The sequence below is a fragment of the Homo sapiens genome, chromosome 15, assembly GCF_000001405.40.
Source record: "Homo sapiens chromosome 15, GRCh38.p14 Primary Assembly".
Lineage (NCBI taxonomy): Eukaryota > Metazoa > Chordata > Mammalia > Primates > Hominidae > Homo > Homo sapiens.
The window spans coordinates 59518704-59540438 of NC_000015.10; the positions used below are offsets into that span (position 1 = coordinate 59518704).

At 43.3% G+C, this 21735-nt stretch overlaps 1 protein-coding gene and 1 pseudogene across 14 annotated transcripts in view, besides 2 other annotated features; one reads left to right on the forward strand and one right to left on the reverse strand.

Moving 5' to 3' along the window:
• The window catches only part of FAM81A (family with sequence similarity 81 member A), a 125575-nt gene extending 120723 nt beyond the window's left edge, over positions 1-4852 (forward strand). For all 14 annotated transcript variants that reach the window (XM_047432171.1, XM_047432170.1, XM_011521248.3 and 11 more), the window contains one exon: positions 2551-4852. In XM_047432171.1, the coding sequence (XP_047288127.1) occupies positions 2551-2675 (125 nt within the window). In that variant the 3' untranslated portion in view covers positions 2676-4852. The remainder of the gene's footprint in view (positions 1-2550) is intronic.
• On the reverse strand, positions 6682-7221 carry RPL21P114 (ribosomal protein L21 pseudogene 114; annotated as a pseudogene).
• Positions 15784-16983: an enhancer, noted in NCBI's record as "CDK7 strongly-dependent group 2 enhancer chr15:59826686-59827885 (GRCh37/hg19 assembly coordinates)". NCBI's record gives its function as "activates an origin of replication core promoter dependent on BRD2, BRD4, P300/CBP, MED14 and CDK7 cofactors, with strong dependence on CDK7, by STARR-seq in HCT116 cells {active_cell/tissue: HCT116}" and the evidence as "EXISTENCE:reporter gene assay evidence [ECO:0000049][PMID:35650434]".
• Positions 17985-18104: a silencer, noted in NCBI's record as "silent region_6491". NCBI's record gives its function as "represses an Ori minimal core promoter by ATAC-STARR-seq in GM12878 lymphoblastoid cells {active_cell/tissue: GM12878}" and the evidence as "EXISTENCE:reporter gene assay evidence [ECO:0000049][PMID:35858748]".

Genomic DNA, 21735 nt, shown 5'->3' on the forward strand with positions numbered 1-21735 from the left:
TGAAATATTTTTTAATATTCAATTTTCAACGTGCCATTATTTCCTTTATAGCAACCCTTTTCCAGTCTAGTGTCTTTTTTTTTCTAATTACATGTTTTTTAAATAAAAAAAATTGTTGTGTATATTTAAGGTATACAACAAGATGTTTATATTTTGATATATATATACATAGTGAAATAGTTACTGTATTCAAGCAGGTTAACATATGTATCATCTCACAGGTATTTGTGTGTGTGTGTCTGTGTGTGTGTGTGTGTGTGTGTGTGTGTGTGTGGCAAGAACACCTGAAAATGTACTCTTTTAGCAAAAATCCCAAATACAATACAATATTATTGACTGCAGTCCTCATGCTATACATTAGACATCTGGTCTTGTTCATTCTCCATATCAGCAATTTGTATCTTTTGACCTGCATCTCCCCATTTCCTCCTCTTCCGCCCCACCTTTGGCAACCACCATTTTATTCTCTATGTTTTTGACTTTCTTTCTTTTCTTTTTTTTTTTAGACAGAGTCTTGCTCTGTCGCCCAGGCTGGAGTGCAGTGGTGCAGTCTCGGCTGACTGCGACCTATTCTTCGCAAGTTCAAGTGATTCTCATACCTCAGCCCCGCGGGTAGCTGGGATTGTAGATGTGCACCACCAGGCCCAGCTAATTTTTGTATTTTTAGTAGAGATGGAGTTTCATGGTGTTGGCCAGGCTGGTCTCAAACTACTGACCTCAAGTAATCCACCCGCCTCGGCCTGCCTTCCTCCCTCCCTCCCTCCCTCCTTTCCTTCCTTCCTTCCTTCCTCCCTCCTTCTCTCTTTCTCTCTTTCTTTCCTTTCTTTCTCTTTCTTTTCTTTCTTCCTTTCTTTCCTTTCCCTTCCCTTCCCTTCCCTTCCTTTCCCTTCCCCTCCCCTCCCCTTCCCTTCTTCCTTCCTTTTCTTTTTTTAGATTCCACATATGAGATCGTGCAGTATTTTTCTTTCTGTATCTGTCTTATTTCACTTAGCATAATGTCCTCCATTTTTATCCATTTGTGACAAATGGCAGGCTCTCCTTTTTTGTAAAGCTGAATAATATTCATCATTTGTATATATACACAATTTCTTTATTCACTAATTTTTTGATGGACACACTTCAGTTGTTTCCATATCTTGGCTATTGTAAATAATGGTGCAGTGAACAGGGGAGTGCAGATATCTTTATGAGGCAGTAATTTAATTTCTTTTGGGAATATACCCAGTAGTGAGATTGCTGGGTCGTATGGTAGTTCTATTTTAAATTTCTTTAGTAACCTCTATACCAAGCTTGTCCAACCCACATCCCGCAGGCCACATGCGACCCAGGATGGCTTTGAATGCAGCCTAACCCAAATTCGTAAACTTTCTTAAAACATTATGAGATTTTTTTGTGATTTTTTTTTTTAAATCACTCATCAGCTATCATTAGTGTTAGTGTATTTGTATTGCCCAAGACAATTCTTTCAGTGTGGCCCAAGGAAGCTGAAAGTTTGGATACCCCTGCCCTATACTGTTTTCCACTATGGCTGCCCCATCCTGCATTCCCACCAACAGTGTACAAGTGTTCCCCTTTCTTCACACCCTCGCTAATGCTTGTACTCGTTTGTCTTTTTGATAATAGCCATCCTAACAGGTGTGAGGTGATAACTCATTGTGGTTTTAATTTGTATTTTTCCTATAATTAGTGATGTTGGCCCTTCAGGTTCTAATCCAGAATTACACATCGTATTTAGTTGTCATGTTTCTTTATTTAGTCTCTATTAATCTGGATCAGTTTCTCAGTGATGTTGACCTTTTTAAAGAATACCAGCCAGCCAGCATTTTGTAGACTATCCCTAGTTTAGATTTGTTTGCTTCATTTTTTTTTTTTTTTTTTTGAGACGAGTCTTGCTCTGTCGCCGAGGCTGGAGTGCAGTAGCACAATCTCAGCTCACTGCAACGTCCGCTTCCTGGGTTCAAGCAATTCTCCCTGCCTCAGCCTCCCGAGTAGCTGGGACTACAGGTGTGCGCCACCATACCCAGCTAATTTTTGTATTTTTAGTAGAGACAGGGTTTCGCCGTGTTGGCCAGGCTGGCTCGAACTCCTGACCTCAGGTGATCCATCCGCCTTGGCCTCCCAAAGTGCTGGGATTACTGGCATGAGCCACCGTACCAGGCCTGTTTGCTTCATCTTGATATAATTTAGGTTGTGTATTTTGGTATTCTTTAAAAATGTCAAGAAGTGATGTTGTGCCCTGCTCAGGGTATCTTTTCAGAAGTTACGTGATGTTGTTTCTCCCAGTATGGGTGACGTGAGATTTGATCACTTGGTTAAAGGGGTATATGACAGTCTTCTCCATTGTAATAGTTCCTTTTTCCTTTTTGTAATTAAAAAGTAATCTCTAGGGAGAAACTAGAAACTCACCTGTTCCCCATCATACTTTCATCCCAGAGGTTTTAGCATCTATTAATAATTTTTGCCTGAATCAACCATTACTAGATACTATAGAATTTGATACAGCATTTTAAAAAAATTGTTAACTGTTGTGAAATTTACCTCTCCTTCAAGGGTTTACAGCCGTCTATGAAAGCATAGGATCCCTCAGGCAAGTTCTCGAGGCCAAGATGAAGCTGGACAGGGACCAGCTACAGAAGCAAATCCAGCTGATGCAGAAGCCAGAGACCCCCATGTGAAGGGAGCTGGGACAAGGTCCTAAAAGACAGTTTTGCCAGTGGGGCTAGGAGCCGGATACCTCTGTAGCCAGGCCATCGCTGCATTCAGGATTGTTCCATCCATGGCGTGCATGTGCCAAGAAATGTGTTTTTATGGGTCTAAATGTTTACCTTGAGTCTTGAAAATACTCTTTTGTTAAAAGTATGAAATACAGTTTTTACCAGTTTATTTCACTTCTCTAAATTCAATGGAAATCCCCCGCCCTGGATTTTGAAAGGCTTTTATCTTCTTCATTTTACGAATGGAAAGACGACAATTTTTCTTCAATGCTTGATGCACTAATGAAGACTGTTTACTATTTTGAAAAATGTCATGGGGATTTTTTTTTAATTAAGAAACTAATGAATCATCACAGGAATGTGTTGCTCCTCACCCTAAATTAAGAGAATGTCCCAGTAGATTAGACTTCAACCTTTGAGTCCAATTTGGATTTTATTATCGTTGTCTATGCACTTCTTATATTGGTTATCTTCTTGTAAATCTTCTGTCTTTTGTAAGGGGAAAGGATTTAACATTTAGAATAAACCCCACCATTTATGTAATGGAAATAGTTTAAAAATTGCTAACTGCCATGTGGATTGCAAATTAAATGGAAACTTATTTAGATAACGTAAGGCTCAATATCTGCGTTGACCACCTAGATATTACAGGTTTTAATATTTAAAACTATTTTTGAATTATCCACAACCTGTATAGTGATAGCCATATATTTAATAATGGAATGGTGGTTAACAGTCTATTTACTGCACAATTAATTGTTCACTAATCAAATAGAATGTGGTAATTTTTCAGACTTTATGATCTGTTTCCAAAATTGGCACAAAGTGCTAGGGTTTATATACACTTATCGTAACTGTATTTTTGTGCCTTGGTTTTATCATGTCAATGCACTGTACTCTGTAAAAGTTTTGCAGACAAAATAGAAAGTATGATAATCCGTCAGAAGTATGATGTAAAACTGGAATCCTCTGTATTTTTTAAATGTTCTAAAAATTTTATCGCTGTTAAGGTATTAATCATTCAGTATTACTAATGGAATAGAAATTCATACTTTTGTATGGACAACAATTCAAATTGATATTGCATTTATAGCACTGTAAGAAACTTTCATCTTGAGCAACTTTGTAGATGATGGGTGTTTTATTTTCAATCGCCATATTTGATCAGTCATTGAAAATTGGCCCCAGTGCTGTTTGTTCATCTCTGTATGTAAAAACTGACAGTGAGACACAACGTTCTGAACTGTGAGGGTGTCCCAGGAAAAAGAAAAACAGGAATACTTTAACAATTAAAAAGAAAAAAATGTTTTTTGTTTGCCAAGGACTCAGGAAAATAAAAAGCATTTTCTATTTTTAGGACAAATCACAAATGAAGTGTCTAACTGGCTATTACTGTTTACCCATATAAAATATGCTGCTAAAGTACATATTTTGCTGTCAATGGCTTGACAATTTTTTTTTTCAAATTTGGACATGAGAGGTTATATAGGGACTATATTATCCAACACATATTTTCTTATTTTGCCACAAATTTCCACTTAACAAATAAAAAAAGGCGAATGCTGTTTTGCAATCAGAAAGTGAATTTCTTTTGTGGTAGCGTACACGTGGTTCATGTGGTTCTCCACGTTTAAGCACAAACCACAGCACAGGAAGCCACACCCCCTCCAGCATCTCTGTCTTGTGGGGTCTTTGAGGAGAAGGAATCAGAACATCGACACCTGGGAAGAGGGAGGCGGGGAACACCAGCTGGACTCTGGCCAAGGAGTGATGTAAGCAGGTGACACTTGGCTGTCAGCTGAGCTTCTCAGGTGCTTCTGACATTGCCAGCCCCTTGAGATGAGCCACCGCAGGTGTGCTCACCTTGGCTACATGTTGAAATCATCCAGAGGAGTTGGGAAATCTACTGATGCCCCGCTGTGCCTCCCAGACCGATTAAGTCAGAACCTCTGGGAGGTGGGTCGCAGGCATCAGTGCGTGCCCGAGGCCTCCGCGTGTTTGGGTGTGCAGCCGAGGTGGTGAGCTGTCGAGCCACAGTGCAGTTCTCTTCTCACCAAAGCTCAAATGAGAATCAGCTTCCATGTTCTTTCCTTTACCAGAAATTTGCAATAAAAAGAAAAATAAAATTTTCACATAAATGTGGTGTATGATTTTTAAATTGAAAAGTCTTTCAGTGTTGAGCTGAAGACTTAATTAGGTAAAATGCCATAGGAAATATTTCTGTTTGCTCTCTGTGGAAACGCTTTGATGGTTGAAATAAAGTGCTCAAGTCCTGGCAGCTCCTCTGACGACTGGAATGTCATTGGGAGCTGCTGGTCTGTGGGCTTCGGGGCTGTAGGGCCTTCTCTGCAGCCTTCTTGTCTCTTGGCAGTTCTCGGGTGTGTGCTGTGTGCCTGTGCTGTGTCCCCTGTGTATGTCAACTCTTTTCATTTTAACTAGTTGAGTTCAATACCATTTCCCCATTTTACAGATGAGAAAACAGAGTCACCTAAAGGTTAAGCAACTTGCCCCAAGTCCTATAGCTGATAAATGGGAGCCATGATTCAAGCCAGGCCGCCTACTTCCGCACTCTGGGAGCCTTACCAGCATACCACACTACCTCCGAAGACATTTTGGCTTCCCACATAAGTGACTTGCTAGGCCACTGACATCAGCCATATCTATATGAGCTTGGCCTCCTGCCATCTGACTACCCTCGCTTTTTAATGCCCCGATTCCAAATACGTAATGAGGCAATCTAATTAGCTTGTCAAACGTCTTCCCCTGGCTGTATCAATGTGGAGGCACCAGAGGTGGGGGGCAGTTGGTGCCACAGGACTTGTAGGATCACAGGCATTTCATCCCCTGCACTTGGGCTGTCCTAGGTCGTGGTCCCTGGCTGGCTCTGCACATCGGGAGATGGATTGTGTAGGGGAGTGTAGAGCAGAACAGAGAAGATGGCTCCGTTCAAGTTGTAATTATCCCACTAGGCTTTCAGGGGGAAAAAGAATCACAAAGCACTGTGACATCAGTCCCTTGCTCTGCCACACAGCCCTCCTGACAGGTTGTTTACAACACAGCAGCTTGCTTCCACCAGTACCAGTGAGAGAGAGGGTGAACGGGAAGGAAGCTAGTCTTTTGTAACCTAATCTCAGAAGTGACAAGCCACCACTTCCACTAGTCTCTTCATGAAAAGCAAGTCCAGCACACACACAGCGGGAGGGGATCACACAAGGGGCTGAACACCTGGGGATGGGGTCACTGGGGGACATTTTACCGACTTCCTGCTCCAGCCGGAATCTGGACTCTGAGTCTCAGTCAGGTGGGCCTGCAGTGCAGTGTCTACTCTATAAAAGGATACTGCTGAGGTCCTTTAGCTCTGGATTTATAGGGACGACAAAATAACTTTTTGAGATGAACTGAACCAAAAATGGCCCAAGATGAATTGACAATTTCCAATAGACATGTGAGGGAGCTTAGAAGTGGAGCTCCCTACCCAAAAGAAATGAAAGTGGGGAATCGGGTATGTGTACATGTGGGCATGGTGGCTTACGCCTGTAATCCCAACACTTTGGGAGGCTGAGGTGGGCGGATCACCTGAGGTCAGGAGTTCAAGACCAGCCTGGCCAACATGGTGAAACCCCCATCTCTACAAAAAACACAAAAATTAGCCGGGCGTGGTGGCACATGTCTGTAATCCCAGCTACTCGGGAGGCTGAGGCAGGAGAATTGCCTGAACCTGGGAGGCAGAGGTTGCAGTGAGCCGAGATCACGCCACTGCACTCCAGCCTGGGCAGCAGAGTGAGAGTCTGTCTCAAAAAAAAAAAGAAAAGAAGTGAAAACTCTCAGGCTCCACCAAGACCTACTGAATCAGAGGCTCTGAGACGGACGCACCAAATTGCTTCAAGTCCTGCAGGTGATTGTAATGTAAAATCTGAGGCTTGCTGCACTAATAAGTAGCCACTAATTACATGGATTTTTTTTTAACAGTCAAGAGGTCCTTAATTTTTTGGCACCTATTGTGCCATAAATTCATAGGGAACAGGTTCCAGCAGCTCAGGCCCTCTTCTGTTGGTTCACTAAGTGTGCTTCTCTGCGTAGAGCAGGCTGGTGCTTCAGCGGAACCCAGGTACGTTTCTCTTTGGGTTCCTTCGTTTTCTGATCGTTTTCCTTCCGCGTTTAGGAAACTATCTTGGCTCTTTAAGTACTTCATATGCTCAACATATACAGTAATTCTCTTGGCTAGAATATTGTTTGTTTACAGAAATGCCAATAGCATGCTGGGTAGCACTGTAGACTTCCAGCTTTGCCATGGTAACATTTGTGAGGTATTCCTTTTTGAACAGTACCCATTCCCTTGATGTCTACAACATCTCCCTTCTTGTAGATTCACGTGTGTGTGTCCAAAGGAACAACTCCATGCATTCTAAAAGGCCCAGGGAACAGAGAGCAGGTGCTTCTCCTCATTCCCTTTTTTTTCATCATTTAGGCAAATGATTAGAAGATGGTGGTTCCAGCCAAAAGAAAATATGTGGTCATTGGCCGGGCACAGTGGCTCAGGCCTGTAATCCCAGCACTTTGGGAGGCCGAGGCAGGCGGATCACGAAGTCAGGAGATCGAGACCATCCTGGCTAACACGGTGAAACCCCATCTCTACTAAAAATACAAAAAATTAGCCGGGTGTGGTTGCGGGCGCCTGTAGTCCCAGCTGCTCGGGAGGCTGAGGCAGGAGAATGGCGTGAACCCAGGAGGCGGAAGTTGCAGTGAGCCGAGATTGTGCCATTGCACTCCAGCCTGGGCGACAGAGCGAAACTCCATCTCAAAAAAAAAAAAAAAAAAAAGGAAAAAAAAAAGAAAATATGTGGTCATTTAAATCAATTAAATGTAAATATAAATTCATCAGAATTAGATATGTCTTAACATTTAGTTTCTTAGTTGCACTAGCCACATTTCAAGCGCTCAGTAGCCTCCCATGGTTGGTGCCTACTGTATTGCCTGTGCGAATGTGGAAGAGTTCTGTAACTGCAGAAATTTCTACTGGATGGTCCTCAAAGTGTCCGCAGACCAGCAGCATCTAGAGCAATAGTTACCTCACTCTTTCAACGTACAGCCTGATATAGTTTGGCTGTGTCCCCACCCAAATCTCATCTTGAATTGTAGCTCCCATCATTCCCATGTGTCTTGGGAGGGACCTGGTGGGAGGTAATTGAATCATGGGGGCCGGTTTTTCCCCTGTTGTTCTCGTGATAGGGAATAAGGCTCATGAGATCTGATGGTTTTATAAAGGGGAGTTCCCCTGCACACACACTCTTGGCTGATGCCATGTAAGACGTGACTTTGCTCCTCATGCGCCTTACGCCATGACTGTGAGGCCTCCCCAGCCATGTGGAACTGTGAGTCCATTAAACCTCTTTCCTTTATAAATTACCCAGTCTCAGGTATGTATTTATTAGCAGCATGAGAACAGACTAATACACAGCCCTATCTACAGCTCTGCACCATCATCTGTCAGCCTAAAATGAGCTTTGGAGCTGGAAATCCTCTCCAGTCTCATTCCTACAATATTATGTCAGTTGTCCCTGTTAGAATAATTTCCTAGGTCTTTATTTTTAAGATTTTATCTTTAAGCAAGATGAATAAACTCTAGAGATCTGGCCAGACATGGTGGCCCAAGCCTGTAATCCCAGCACTTTGGGAGGCCAAGTCAGGTAGATCACCTGAGGTCAGGAGTTTGAGACCAGCCTGGCCAACATGGTGAAACTCTGTCTCTACTAAAAATAAAAAAATTAGCCAGGCGTGGTGGCATGCACCTGTAATCCCAGCTACTCGGGAGGCTGAGGCAGGAGAATCACTTTAACCTGGGAGGCAGAGGTTGCAGTGAGCTGAGATCATGCCATTGCACTCCAGCCTGAGCGACAGAGCAAGACTCCATCTCAAAAAAACAAAACAAAACAAAACAAAACAAAACACAACTCTAGAGATCTGCCGTATAACATTGCACCTATAGTCAACAGCCATGTGTTATACACTTAAAACTTCGTTAAGAGGGTAGATCTCATGTTACATGTCCTTACCACAATAAATTTTTTAAAAAAGATTTTTATCTCATCTGTCAGTTCTGATCAGTAGATAGAGGTGCCTGGAGCACTGTGTTGGGAAGGATTTGGTGGCTGGCACCGGATGCAGGGGGAAGAGCCAGCCCAAGGCCGATGGGGTGGTGTCTTGTGAACTGTGGGTCTGCCAGGCTTGCCCTAGGGCATCCTGGGCATGTGGGATGCCTGGCAAGGGCTTGTTGGCCAGGGGAGTCCAGGGATTCTGATGCTCCCTAGTGAGGGGCCCCTCGCAGGTCTGGGATGAAGGTGAGTCACAGTGAGGCATTCACCTTGATAAATTTAGAGGGGCACCAAATACTCTAAGATTACAATATTTTAATGTAATATTTTAAAAGATCACCATTAATACTAAAAAATTCCAGATGAACAGGGCCAGGCGCGGTGGCTCACACCTGTAATCCTAGCACTTTGGGAGGCCAAGGCGGGCGGATCACGAGGTCAGGAGGTCAAGACCATCTGGCTAACACGGTGAAACCCCATCTCTACTAAAAAATACAAAAAATTAGCCGGGCGTGGTGGTGGGCGCCTGTAGTCCCAGCTACTCGGGAGGCTGAGGCAGGAGAATGATGCGAACCCGGGAGGCGGAGCTTGCAGTGAGCTGAGATCGTGCCACTGCACTCCAGCCTGGGCAACAGAGCGAGACTCTGTCTAAAAAAAAAAAAATTCCAGGTGAACAAAATATCAAATCTTAACTAAAGACCAGATCTGACTGTGCTATGTGGTGTCATTTTGGAATTGAGGCAAAAGACAAAGTATTTCTCTCTATATACATGTTTTTATGCAAAAATTGGACATATTTTTTGTGAGGGTTTTTTAATTTTGATTTTTAGAAATATTACATTAAAATATGATTTACTTGGTTATTGAGGTTTTGGTCTTCCCCTCTCCTTATCACTTTTTTTTTTTTTTTTTTTTAAAACAGGGTCTCCCTCTGTCACCCAGGCTGGAAGCTGTGGTGTGATCATAGCTCATAGCTCATTACAGCCTCAGTCTCCTGAGTAGCTAGGATTACAGGTGTGCACCACCATGCCTGGCTAATTAAAATTAAAAAAAAAATTTGTAGATATGGGGTCTTACTATGTTGCCCAGGCAGGTCTTAACTCCTGGCCTCCAGGAATCCTCCCAACTCAGCCTCCCAAAATGCTGGGATTACTGGTGTGAGCCACCACACCCGGCCTCTCCTTACCTTTTGCATTTGAGGCTGCTTTACCCTAATCCTGACCCTGCCCTGATATCTAGAAATTTGGAGCTAAATTCAGTGCTTAGTTTTTATAATTAGCTTATCTTGGGGGTATCTGATTGCTTTAGATGGTCTCTGGTCTGTTTTTATTTCTAATTACCATGCTTTGTTTAATTTTCAAACTTGTAGTTTAATTATTCTTTAAACCGACTTGGGCCACAGGTAAAGCAATGATCTGACTCTGAGCAGGTGTGACTCCTCTGAGACATGGAGGAAGAGAGGGCGGGGAGCGAAGATGTTTGCAGATTTCCAGCACTTAACTGCCAGCCGCCAGAGAAGTGCGAGGAGCTCTCCACAGCACTACCAGGCCCGCCCATGGGATTCACTGTCCTTTGCTGCCCCCACCTGGAGAGAATGAAAACTCCTAGGGAATCTGTTTCACTAGGGAGAACCCAGAACCAAGGAATGCCTCGGGAAAAGAGCCCTTGGAGATCATGAAACCGCTAGTGCAAAATTATAGCTGAGACAGCAAAAAAGATCTGACCTAGCCAACTCCATCTTGCTTCTAAGCTCCAAGCTGTCTTTGTTCATTCCTGGGCATAGGCTGAACTAAGTTTGGGAGGAACTTAGTTTCTTAAAACAAGGTGATTAACAGCCCTTTCCCAAAACAAACCGCCTTCTTGCCTGTATTTAATGATAAAATACAAGTTAAAGAAGATTTTTTTTTTTTTTTGAGACGGAGTCTCACTCTGTCACCCAGGCTGGAGTGCAGTAGTGCAATCTCGGCTCACTGTAGTCTCCACCTCCCAGGTTTCAGCCATTCTCCTGTCTCACCCTCCCCAATAGCCGGGACTACAGGCATGAGCCACCACTCCTAGCTAATTTTTGCATTTTTAGCAGAGAGGGAGTTTTGCCATGTTGGCCAGGCTGGTCTGGAACTCCTGACCTCAAGTGATCTGCCTGCCTTAGCCTCTCAAAGTGCTGGGAATGCGGGTGTAAGCTACTGTGCCCGGCCAAAGATATATTTTTAAGCAAAAATTGTTTAAAGCTGATTTTAATGTTTAAAATGTACCTACATCTTGGCCTGGTGCTGTGGCTGACACCTGTAATCCCAGCACTTTGGGAGGCTAAGGCAAGCAGATCACTTGAACTCAGGAGTTCAATACCAGCCTGTGCAACAAGGTGAGATTTAGTCTTAGCTACTCTGGGGACTCAGGTGGGAGGCTCACTGAGCCCAGGAGGTCGAGGCTGCAGTAAGCTGAGACTACCCCAATGCACTCCAGCGTGGGTGGCAAAGTGAGACCTAGTTTCAAAAAATAAATAAATAAAAATAAAAGTTTACCTACATCTTATTAAATATGGTTTGTTTTTGGGTTTTTTTTGTTGTTGTTGCTTTTTGTTTGCTTGTTTGTTTGTTTTTTGAGATGGAGTCTTGCTCTGTTGCCAGGCTGGAGTGCAGTGGTGTGATCTCGGCTCACTGCAATCTCTGACTCCCTGGTTCAAGCTATTCTCCTGCCTCAGCCTCCTGAGTAGCTGGGATTACAGGCATGTGCCAGTACGCCCAGATAATTTTTGTATTTTTAGTAGAGACAGGGTTTCACTATGTTGGCTAGGATGATCTTGATCTCCTGATCTTGTGATTTGCCAGCCTCGGCCTCCCAAAGTGCTGGGATTACAGGCGTAAGCCACCACGCCTGGCCATCTTATTATTATTATTTTGAGACTGAGTCTCTCTCTGTCACCTAGGCTGGAGTGCAGTGGCGCGACCTCGGCTCTCTGCAACCTCCGCCTCCCGGGTTCAAGCGATTCTCCTGCCTCAGCCTCCTGAGTAGCTGGGATTACAGGTGAGTGCCACCATGCCCGGCTAATTTTTGTATTTTTAGTAGAGACAGGGTTTCACCATGTTGGTCAGGTTGGTCTCAAACTCCTGACCTCGTGATCCCCCCACCTCGGCCTCCCAAAGTGCTGGGATTACAGGCGTGAGCCACCACACCTGGCCATCTTATTAAATATTTTTTATAAAAATAAGCCTATTTATGATTCAGGCATTCAATGTCCATCTAGTTGCCAATGTGTTGTCCTTTCAGCCACGTGGCTAATAGGGGCTTCCTGCTCTTATAATCTCTGGATGACTCATTATCTCCTGGTTGGCTTCTCAGTTTCCATAATGTGGGTGACCAATTCCCTTTATTAAATTATCTGTGTTTGGAATACCTAGGGAGGATTCTGTTTTCTTGAATGGACCCTAACTGACGTAATGCTTAAGGAGAGTAATTTGCTTCTGTAGCTATCACACTGTTTCTCCATAGCACCTATCTGCTTTTCCTTTGGTGCTGTGTGGCTCTCGTGTTCTAATAAACCAATACCCTCTAGGGCTAGCTAAGGCTTTTTGAGTACCCGACATTGTGCTAGGTGCTCATCCCTGTGTCCGCGAACAAGTCCTGGACAGAGCAGACCCTTGTCCTTGCCACAGGCACCTGCTGGTCCATCACTTCCTCTGGCCTCACCCAGGAACCCTCTGGCCTAGAGTTTACCTGTCTAGCAGCTGCTGTGCTGCTGCCCAAACCATGTTGGGCGGGACCAAATGCCGGGTGTCTTTAGTAAGTCTTCACCTTCCCTCTTCCTCCTACAAGGTTCTCAGCTACCTCCAGCCTACCTGGGCATTTTTACCAGTTTGTCCACTGCAGAGTTTCACCTCAAGAGGAAGAAAAGGGAGAACACGTTTGTCAACGTTCCTTTCTCCTCCCCACACTCCACTTGTGTGAAAAAGAGAACCGGCTTTCTATTTCTGCTTCCTCTCTAGGGTGGCCTTCTCGCTGTCATTTCTTCCTTTCTAGGGGGATGAGGGAGCCTTAAGTCCCTTAATGGTAGCAGGAGTATTCCTTCTGCATCATGGAAGTGAGTTTGTCATCTGACTTAGGCTTAGAGTTAGTGACTCTGACACAGTTCTAGGAGCCAAAGGAACTTAGAAAATTCTTTCATGACAAAGCCTGGCTTTTAAGACTATCGTCTTTCTGTGCTTTCCAGGTATCTATTCTGAATTTCAAAACTGAATATGGACTGCGTCCTCTTTGAGTTCCTGTTGTAACAGTCCTAGTTCCCTCTTGGGCAAATGGATGCCTCTGCAGAAGACGGGGCAAGTCAGGGGGAGGACAAGGAAATGCAAGGGACACCAGCAAATTAGTAAATTTCAAAACTATTGTTTCCATTAACTACACATGGGTGTCTTCTCCCTAAACTGTGATCTACTTGAAGGCAGGATTACATTTTCCCCAATATTTAAAAAAATATCTATGAGAAGTCAGGTGCTAATCGTGAAAGCACTTGCAGGTTAACTAAGGTCTCAGGTGTCCTTATGTTGTCTCATATTATGACAGCTCTTTATAGTGCGTCCCACACCCATTAGATCACTTAACGATAGTTCCAGATGGGTTAAAGTCTCTGATTAATGAGAAATAGAGGCCGGGTGTGGTGGCTTATGCCTGTAATCCCAGCACTTTGGAAGGGCAGATCAGTTGAGTTCAGGAGTTCACGACCACCCTGGCCAACATGGTGAAACCCCGTCTCTACTAAAAATACAAAAATTAGCTGGGTGTGGCAGAGGGCGCTGGTAATCCCAGCTACTTGGCAGGCTGAGGCAGGAAAATTGTTTGAACCTGGGAGGTGGAGGTTGCCGTGAGCCAGGATCGTGCCACTGCACTCCAGCCTGGGTGACAGAGTGAGACCCTATTTCAAAAAAAAGGAGAAATAGAATAAATTGATAAATCGATTAATGCGCTGTTATTAACTGATCTTTGTAAAACGTCTATGTTTGGGGGTAAAACACTAAAAAAAAGGCAGGGGGACAGGGTGTAGTGGCTCACGCCTGTAATCCCAGCACTTTGGGAGGGTGAGGTGGGAGGAGGATTGCTTGAGGGAGGAGACCAGCCTGGGAAACATAGTGAGACCCTGTCTCTAAAAAAAGAAAGAAAGAAAAAAATCTCTGAGAAAGAAAAAGAAACAAAAGAAAGGTAAAAATATGGGGGACCACTGAATTAATCATTTATTGAGAATGTCTCCACGCAAAGTGCTCTCATGCACATTTTTTCTTCCACATGTCGTTTCTGGGCAACGTGAAAGATAAATTTTGTTACAGACCTCTTTTAAACAGGTGTTTTGAAAGCTAGAGGGTCTAGATATGCCTGACTTCATAAAATTCAGGAAGCAGAAATCATTTCAGTTTCACCTCATTTCAGCTTTTTCTAAAACTAATGCAGAACTGTAGTCTATCCCTAGGTGGCGCATTAAGCTAAATTTTTGAGAACCTGCTGCCCCGCACCGACCCCTGCCAACCTCCCATGTCTTAAATAATGATGACCTGATACATGTACGGGACTTTGTAATTGATAAACCACTTTACCTCCCTTATAATAACCCTGTGTTACCATTACTATTCTCATCCTCCGATGAAGAAACTGAAGTTATGAATTTTAATTGAATATGTGAATAAGCGTAAATATTTTGCTTAATATTTATGTGTCAGACACTTTCCTACCCACTGGGTAGGAAATTACTATTTCTTAGCAGCCATCTTAGACCTTAGGGAAACAAAAAGAAATTAAAGAAAAAAGAGAAATTACAGCTTCCATTTTACAAATAGAAAAATGAAATATCAAGAAAGTTTGGTCAAGGTCACATAGCCAGTGAAGCAAGGCTGAATACCCAGCTCCTTTGGCTCCAGGTCTGGTGAGTTTCCTAGCACAGCCTTACTCTAGTCCTAAAATTTCTGGGAAGGAAGTCCTGTGTCAAACCTTTGCTTTCTTTGCATACTCTCTTAGGTCTGCATTTCATTGACCTTTAGAGCTGCAAAGAAGAAAGACAGACAGTAAGAAGGGAATGGGAGTTAACATTATTGCATTCGTGTGTAAAGTCATTCATTTCAGGTCGGGCCCAATGGCTCACATCTGTAATCCCAGAACTTTAGGAGGCAGATGCGGGCGGATCACTTGAGGTCAGGAATTCAAGATAGGCCTGGCCAACATGGTGAAGCCCCATCTCTACTAAAAATACAAAAATTAGCTGGACACGGTGATGTGCACCTGTAATCCCAGCTACTCAGAAGGCTAAGGCAGAAGAATCACTTGAATCCAGGAGGCAGAGGTTGCAGTGAGCTGAGATTGGGCCACTGCACTCCAGCCTGGGCGACAGAGCAAGACTCTGTCTCAAAACAAAAAAACAAACAAAAAAAAGTCTTTCATTTCAACCTGAAAATCCCTCCTCTCTTTCATCATCCCTCCTGCCATGTTTCTAAGGTGTCTCTGTGACACCTTTTTCTAGTAGATCCCCACTGCCCATTGTAATTTTAGGTAGCTTGGCCCTTTGGATCAAGCCTCCTCATTATTTTCAGATTTTCCTCATTGAAAATGCTTGGTTGTGGTAAGCAGTTTCCCTCTTTACAATGTGAGTTCCCCGACTCTGGGCCCTTAATCCCTCTCAGAATATAAACTGTATTCTAATATCTAGAAAGAAACCAATAGTTAATAGGAAATTAATATGTATTGTTGAATAAATATTATTACTGAAAATGTATTAAAACATAGAGGTAGGTGGTATTGTTTCTATTTGAGGATGTTCTCTCTTTCTTTCTTTCTTTTCTGTCTTTTTTTTTTGAGACAGAATTTCATTCTTGTTGCCCAGGCTGAAGTGAATGGCATGATCTTGGTTCACTGCAACCTCTACCTCCTGGATTCAAGCGATTCTCCTGCCTCAGCCTCCCTAGTAGCTCGGATTACAGGCATGCGCCACCATGCCTGGCTAGTTTTGTATTTTTAGTAGAGATGGGGGTTTCACCATGTTGGTCAGGCTGGTCTCGAACTCCTGACCTCAGGTGATCTGCCTGCCTTGGCTTCCCAAAACGCTGGGATTACAGGCATAAACTACAGCAACTGGCTGACGGTGTTGTTTCTACTTGAAACATCAGTGAATCCGCAAATGGTATGAAACTATATGGAATGCTAGTTTTCATACGCGTCCATGTGAAGAGACCACCAAACAGGCTTTGTGTGAGCAACATGGCTGTTTATTTCACCTGGGTGCAGGCGGGCTGAGTCCGAAAAGAGAGTCAGCGAAGGGAGATAGGGGTGGGGCCATTTTATAGGATTTGGGAAGGTAATGGAAAATTACAGTCAAAGGGAGTTGTTCTCTGGCGGGCAGGGGTGGATCTCACAAAGTACATTCTCAAGGGTGGGGAGAATTACAAAGAACCTTCTTAAGGGTGGGGGAGACTACAAAGTACCTTCTTAAGGGTGGGGGAGATTACAAAGTACATTGATCAGTTAGGGTGGGGCAGGAACAAATCACAACGGTGGAATGTCATCAGTTAAGGCTGTTTTTACTTCTTTTGTGGATCTTCAGTTACTTTAGGCCATCTGGATGTATACGTGCAAGTCACAAGGGATGCGATGGCTTGGCTTGGGCTCAGAGGCCTGACACTAGTTATTATAAAATGTACTTTCAGCAGTCTTCTGGGACTTGACTACCTTGTGGATTGTACTAGAAATGTCAGGTATGGTGACTGCTCTGCCCACCACTCTAAATGAAACTGTCCCCCCACAGTCTCTGTTGCCCAGGTGTCCTATGTCCCTCGTCACAGCTGAATGGACCAAGGCAGATGTGCTATCAAGGACAGCCAATCACAAGTGAGCAGTAATCTCTGATATGCTTTGGTGCAAAAAGCTGAGTTGAGTCAACAGTTATTTAAATTTGTGTGCAGTCACTTCCGTTTGCTGGGGAATGGCGTGGTGAGGGAAGATTGATATAAGTTACCTCATATCTGGGTTACATGGATATATATCCTACAGTTGCTTAAAATACATTTCAGGATTCTTTGGTTTGCAGCATGTGTTTTGGAAAGGACAGGGAGAGGAAATTTAAGAGGTGGAGTGAAATCCAGGGACCCTTCACCTGCCACAAAAAGTGACGGGGCTTTCTGGTGTCAAGCAGGTGACAGGCTGTGCAGGGCTTTGCCCCTGAGGGTTCGACAGACAAAAGCAAGGCAGCTGTCACATAGGGGAAGGAACACAAGGCAAAGGGTTTGAGTCTTCACTCTGCCGATTATGAGATGTCTGCCATTGGACAAAAATGTGTGTGTGTGTGTGTGTGTGTGTGTGTGTGTGTGTTAATTTGTGGAGATGGGGTCTCACTATGTTGTCTAGGCTGGTGTCAAACTCCTGGCCTCAGTCAAGTGATCTTCCTGCTTCAGGCTCCCAAAGCATTGGTATTACAGGTGTGAGCCACTGCACCTGGCCAAAAATATAAGTTTTCAAAGAGTCATCTAAATATCTGTGTCAATTAGCAATAAATTGATAATACTAGGTTGGCACAATAGTAATGGCAAAAACTGCAACTACTTTTGCAGCAAGCTAATAATACCTCTAGGTGTCTGTTTTATATGTTTTATTATGCAGAATAATTCTTAAGGAGCTTCTTCCAAATGTAGGTTTTGTTTAGAATCTACCCCATGAAGATTCTGCTTCAGTGGTTGTGGACATTCACCTAGACCTGGGGTGAGTCTGACTCAGGTCGTCCTTGGACCACATCTTGAAAAATTCCGCTCTGGATGAAGAAACTAGAAACAGGAGACAAACTCCATTCCAATTGATGAGCTTCTTTCTGGCTGCTCAACTAGACCATGGCCACCCTGCAGGATGCTAGAAAGTCTGCAGATTTGGGAGTCCCAGTCGCTTAAAGGAGCAAACACCAGCCTGGGTCTTCTCCAAGATGGCAGGATCATCCCGCTTTAAGGCAAGAACCGAGCAGCATCTTCTCACCTGCTCATTCTTAGGTGTGACAGCGTGAACCTAGGAAGGAGGAAGCCAGTCAAGCAGGAGCGATGTTGAGTATTTCTTGAGAAAGGAGACATGGTTTCTTCTACATGGATGTGTTCTTGAGGCTAGTTTGGGGGCTAAGCTGGCAAATGTGAGGAAGAGACTCAGATGGCTGAAAGAGCAGCTGCTTAAAGTGCAAAGTGGCTGGTTGAACCAGCCCCTGGGCAGATGCTGATTAGAGAGAGCCCCGTAATGAAAGTGGGATTAGGGGCCAGGCGCGGTGACTCATACCTGAAATCCCAGCACTTTGGGAGGCTGAGACAGGTGGGTCACGAGGTCGGGGTTCAAGACCAGCTTGGTCCAAGATGCTGAAACCCCATCCCTACTAAAACTACAAAAATTAGCCTCATGTGGTGGTACATGCCTGTAATCCCAGCTACTCAGGAGGCTGAGGCAGGATAATCACTTGAACCCAGGAGGCAGAGGTTGCACTGAGCCCAGATCACACCACTGCACTCCAGCCTGGGTGACAGAGCAAGATTCTGTCTCAAAAAAAAAAGAAAGAAAGAAAGAAAGAAAGAAGGAGGGATTAGGTTAGAGCTATGAAGAGAAGACTCCACTCTTTGTGTGTGTGTGTGTGTGTGTGTGTGTGTGTATGTGGGTTTTTTAAATTTAATTTTATTTTTTGAGACAGAGTCTCCCTCTGTCACCCAGGCTGGAGTGCAGTGGCATGAACATGGCTTTGCTCACTGCTGCCTTGACCTCTTGGGCTCAAAAGATCCTCCCACCTCAGCCTCCCAAGTAGCTGGACTCACAAGCGTGTGCCACCTCGCCCAACTAATTTTTAATTTTTTTTGTAGACACAGGGTCTATGTTGCCCAGGCTGGTCTCTAACTCCTGGGCTCAAGCAATCCTCCCACCTTGGCCTCCCAAAGTGCTGGGATTATAGGTGTGAGCCACTGCACCTGACTGAAGAATCCACTCTTTCTCAGCGATGGCTACATAAGCTTCAATGTCAACTTAAACTGGTTCCTTATGCAAACTGCAGTGTTCTTTCACCAGCTCAACATGCTCAGTTGTTTTCATTTTTCAGCAAACAGGCTATAGCTAGGCCACTCCCTTGATATTTGCATTTGACTGGGAACTGAAAAAAGTGAAAACTGATGCAAATGTGATCAGTTGAAATAATGGGTTGAATCTAATAGAATAAAATGTAACACGGAATAGGCATATTAAAAAATGCTCACTATTATTAGTCATCAGGGAAATGCAAATTGGAAAAGCATTTGAAGGTCTGGCATGAAAAGCACATTGAGGGTCGGGTGCGGTGGCTCATGCCTTTGTAATCCCAGCACTTTGGGAGGCTGAGGCAGGTGGATCACCTGAGGTTGGGAGTTCGAGACCAGCCTGAGCAATATGGAGAAACCCCATCTCTACTAAAAATACAAAATTAGCCGGGCGTGGTGGCGCATGCCTATAATCCCAGCTACCCGGGAGGCTGAGGCAGGAGAATCACTTGAACCTGGGAGGTGGAGGTTGTGGTGAGCAGAGATCACACTATTGCACTCCAGCCTGGGCAACAAGAGCAAAACTCTGTCTCAAAAAACAAAAACAAAAACAAAAACAAAAAACGAAAGAAAAGCACGTTGAAGTTCTGGTATGGTGGCTCATGCATGTTATCCCAGCATTTTGGGAGACTGAGGCAGGAGGATGGCTTGAGGCCAGGAGTTTGAGACAATCCTGGGCAACATATTGAGACCCCATCTATACAAAAACATTTTTTTTTTAAATTAGCCAAGGATGGTGGCATGCACCTATAGTCTTACCTAGTTGGGATGCTGAGGTGGGAGGATCGCTTGAGCCTAGGAGGTCAAGGCTGTATTAAGTTATGATTGTGCCACTGCACTCCAGCTTGGATGACAGAGCAAGACTCTGTCTCAAACCCCCCACCCCCCGCAAAAAAAACAAACAGCAACACACAATGAAATACCATTTCAATCTTATTAAGAATAAAAAAAGACAGGCAATAACAAGTTTTGTGTGCTTTTGTTTTTTTTGTCTGTTTGTTTGTTTGGAAAGAGTCTCACTCTGTTGTCCAGGCTGGAATGCAGAGGCATGAACATGGCTCGCTGCAGCCTTGACTTCCTGGGCTCGAGAGATCCTCCTGCATCAGCCTCCCCACCTGGGACCACAGGTGCATGCCATCACACCCAGCTAATCAATTTTTTTTTTTTGAGACAGGGTCTTACTGTGTTGCCCAGGCTGGTCTGAAACTCTTGGTCTCCAGCAATCCTTCCACCTCAGCCTCCCAAAATGCCGGAATGACAGACATCAGGCTCTGTGCCTGGCTAGTAACAAGTTTTGATGAAGATGTGAAGAAATTTGGAAACCTCATATATTGCCAGTGAAAATGCAAACTGGTGCAGCCCCTTTGGTTTCATTTACTTATTTATTTTTGAGATAAGTTTTCACTCTGTTGCTCAGGCTAGAGTGCAGTGATACAATTATAGCTCACTGTAGCCTCAACCTCCTGGCTCAAGTGATCCTACCCACTCGGCCTCCTGAGTATTTAAGAGTATCAGTGCAGGCCACCACACCCAGCTATATATTTTTTATATATATGTATGTGTATATATACACATATATATGTGTGTGTGTATATATATGTGTGTGTGTATGTATATGTACGTATATATGTGTGTATATATGTACATATATATATACGTGTATATGTGTGTATATACATACGTATATGTGTATATATACGTATATACGTGTATATATATGTGTATATATACGTGTATATATACGTGTGTATATATACGTGTATATATACGTGTGTATATATACGTGTATATATACGTGTGTATATATACGTGTATATATACGTGTGTATATATACGTGTATATATACGTGTGTATATATACGTGTATATATACGTGTGTATATATACGTGTATATATACGTGTGTATATATACGTGTATATATACGTGTGTATATATACGTGTATATATACGTGTGTATATATACGTGTATATATACGTGTGTATATATACGTGTATATATACGTGTGTATATATACGTGTATATATACGTGTGTATATATACGTGTATATATACGTGTGTATATATACGTGTATATATACGTGTGTATATATACGTGTATATATACGTGTGTATATATACGTGTATATATGTGTGTATATATACGTGTATATATATGTGTGTATATATACGTGTATATATATACGTGTGTATATATACGTGTATATATATACGTGTGTATATGTGTATATATATACGTGTATATATATACGCGTATATATATACGTGTATATATATATATATATATTTTTTTTTTCTTGGTAGAGGCAGGGTCTTATTATGTTGCTCAGGCTGACCTTGAACTCCTCAAGTGATCCTTCTGCCTTGGCCTCCCAAAGTGCTAGGATTACAGATGTGAGTCACCATGCCACACCCTGGAAAAGAGTGTGGTAAACAGGCAGTTCTTCAAAATGTTGAGTATAGAGTTCCCATATGACCCAGCAGTTTTACTGCTAAGTGTGTACACCAAAGAACTGAAAACCTAGGTCCACACAAAGACCTGTACAAGAATATTCATAACATGACAAAAAGGAATTTGAGGAAATCTAAAAAAAAAAAAAGAATATTCATAGAAGCATTTTCATAGTAGACAAAAGGTGGGAACAACACAAATATTCATCAACTGATGAATGGATAAATAAAATGTGGCACATAATACAATGTAATATTATTCAGCCGTAAAAAGGAATGGAATTGTGATCCATGCTACATCATGGATGACCCTTGGAAAGATTCTTTTTTTTTAAAATTAAATGTTTTGAGACAGTATCTCACTCTGTTGCCCAGGCTGGAGTGCAGCGGCCTGATCACGGCTCACTGCAGCCTGGATCTCCCAAG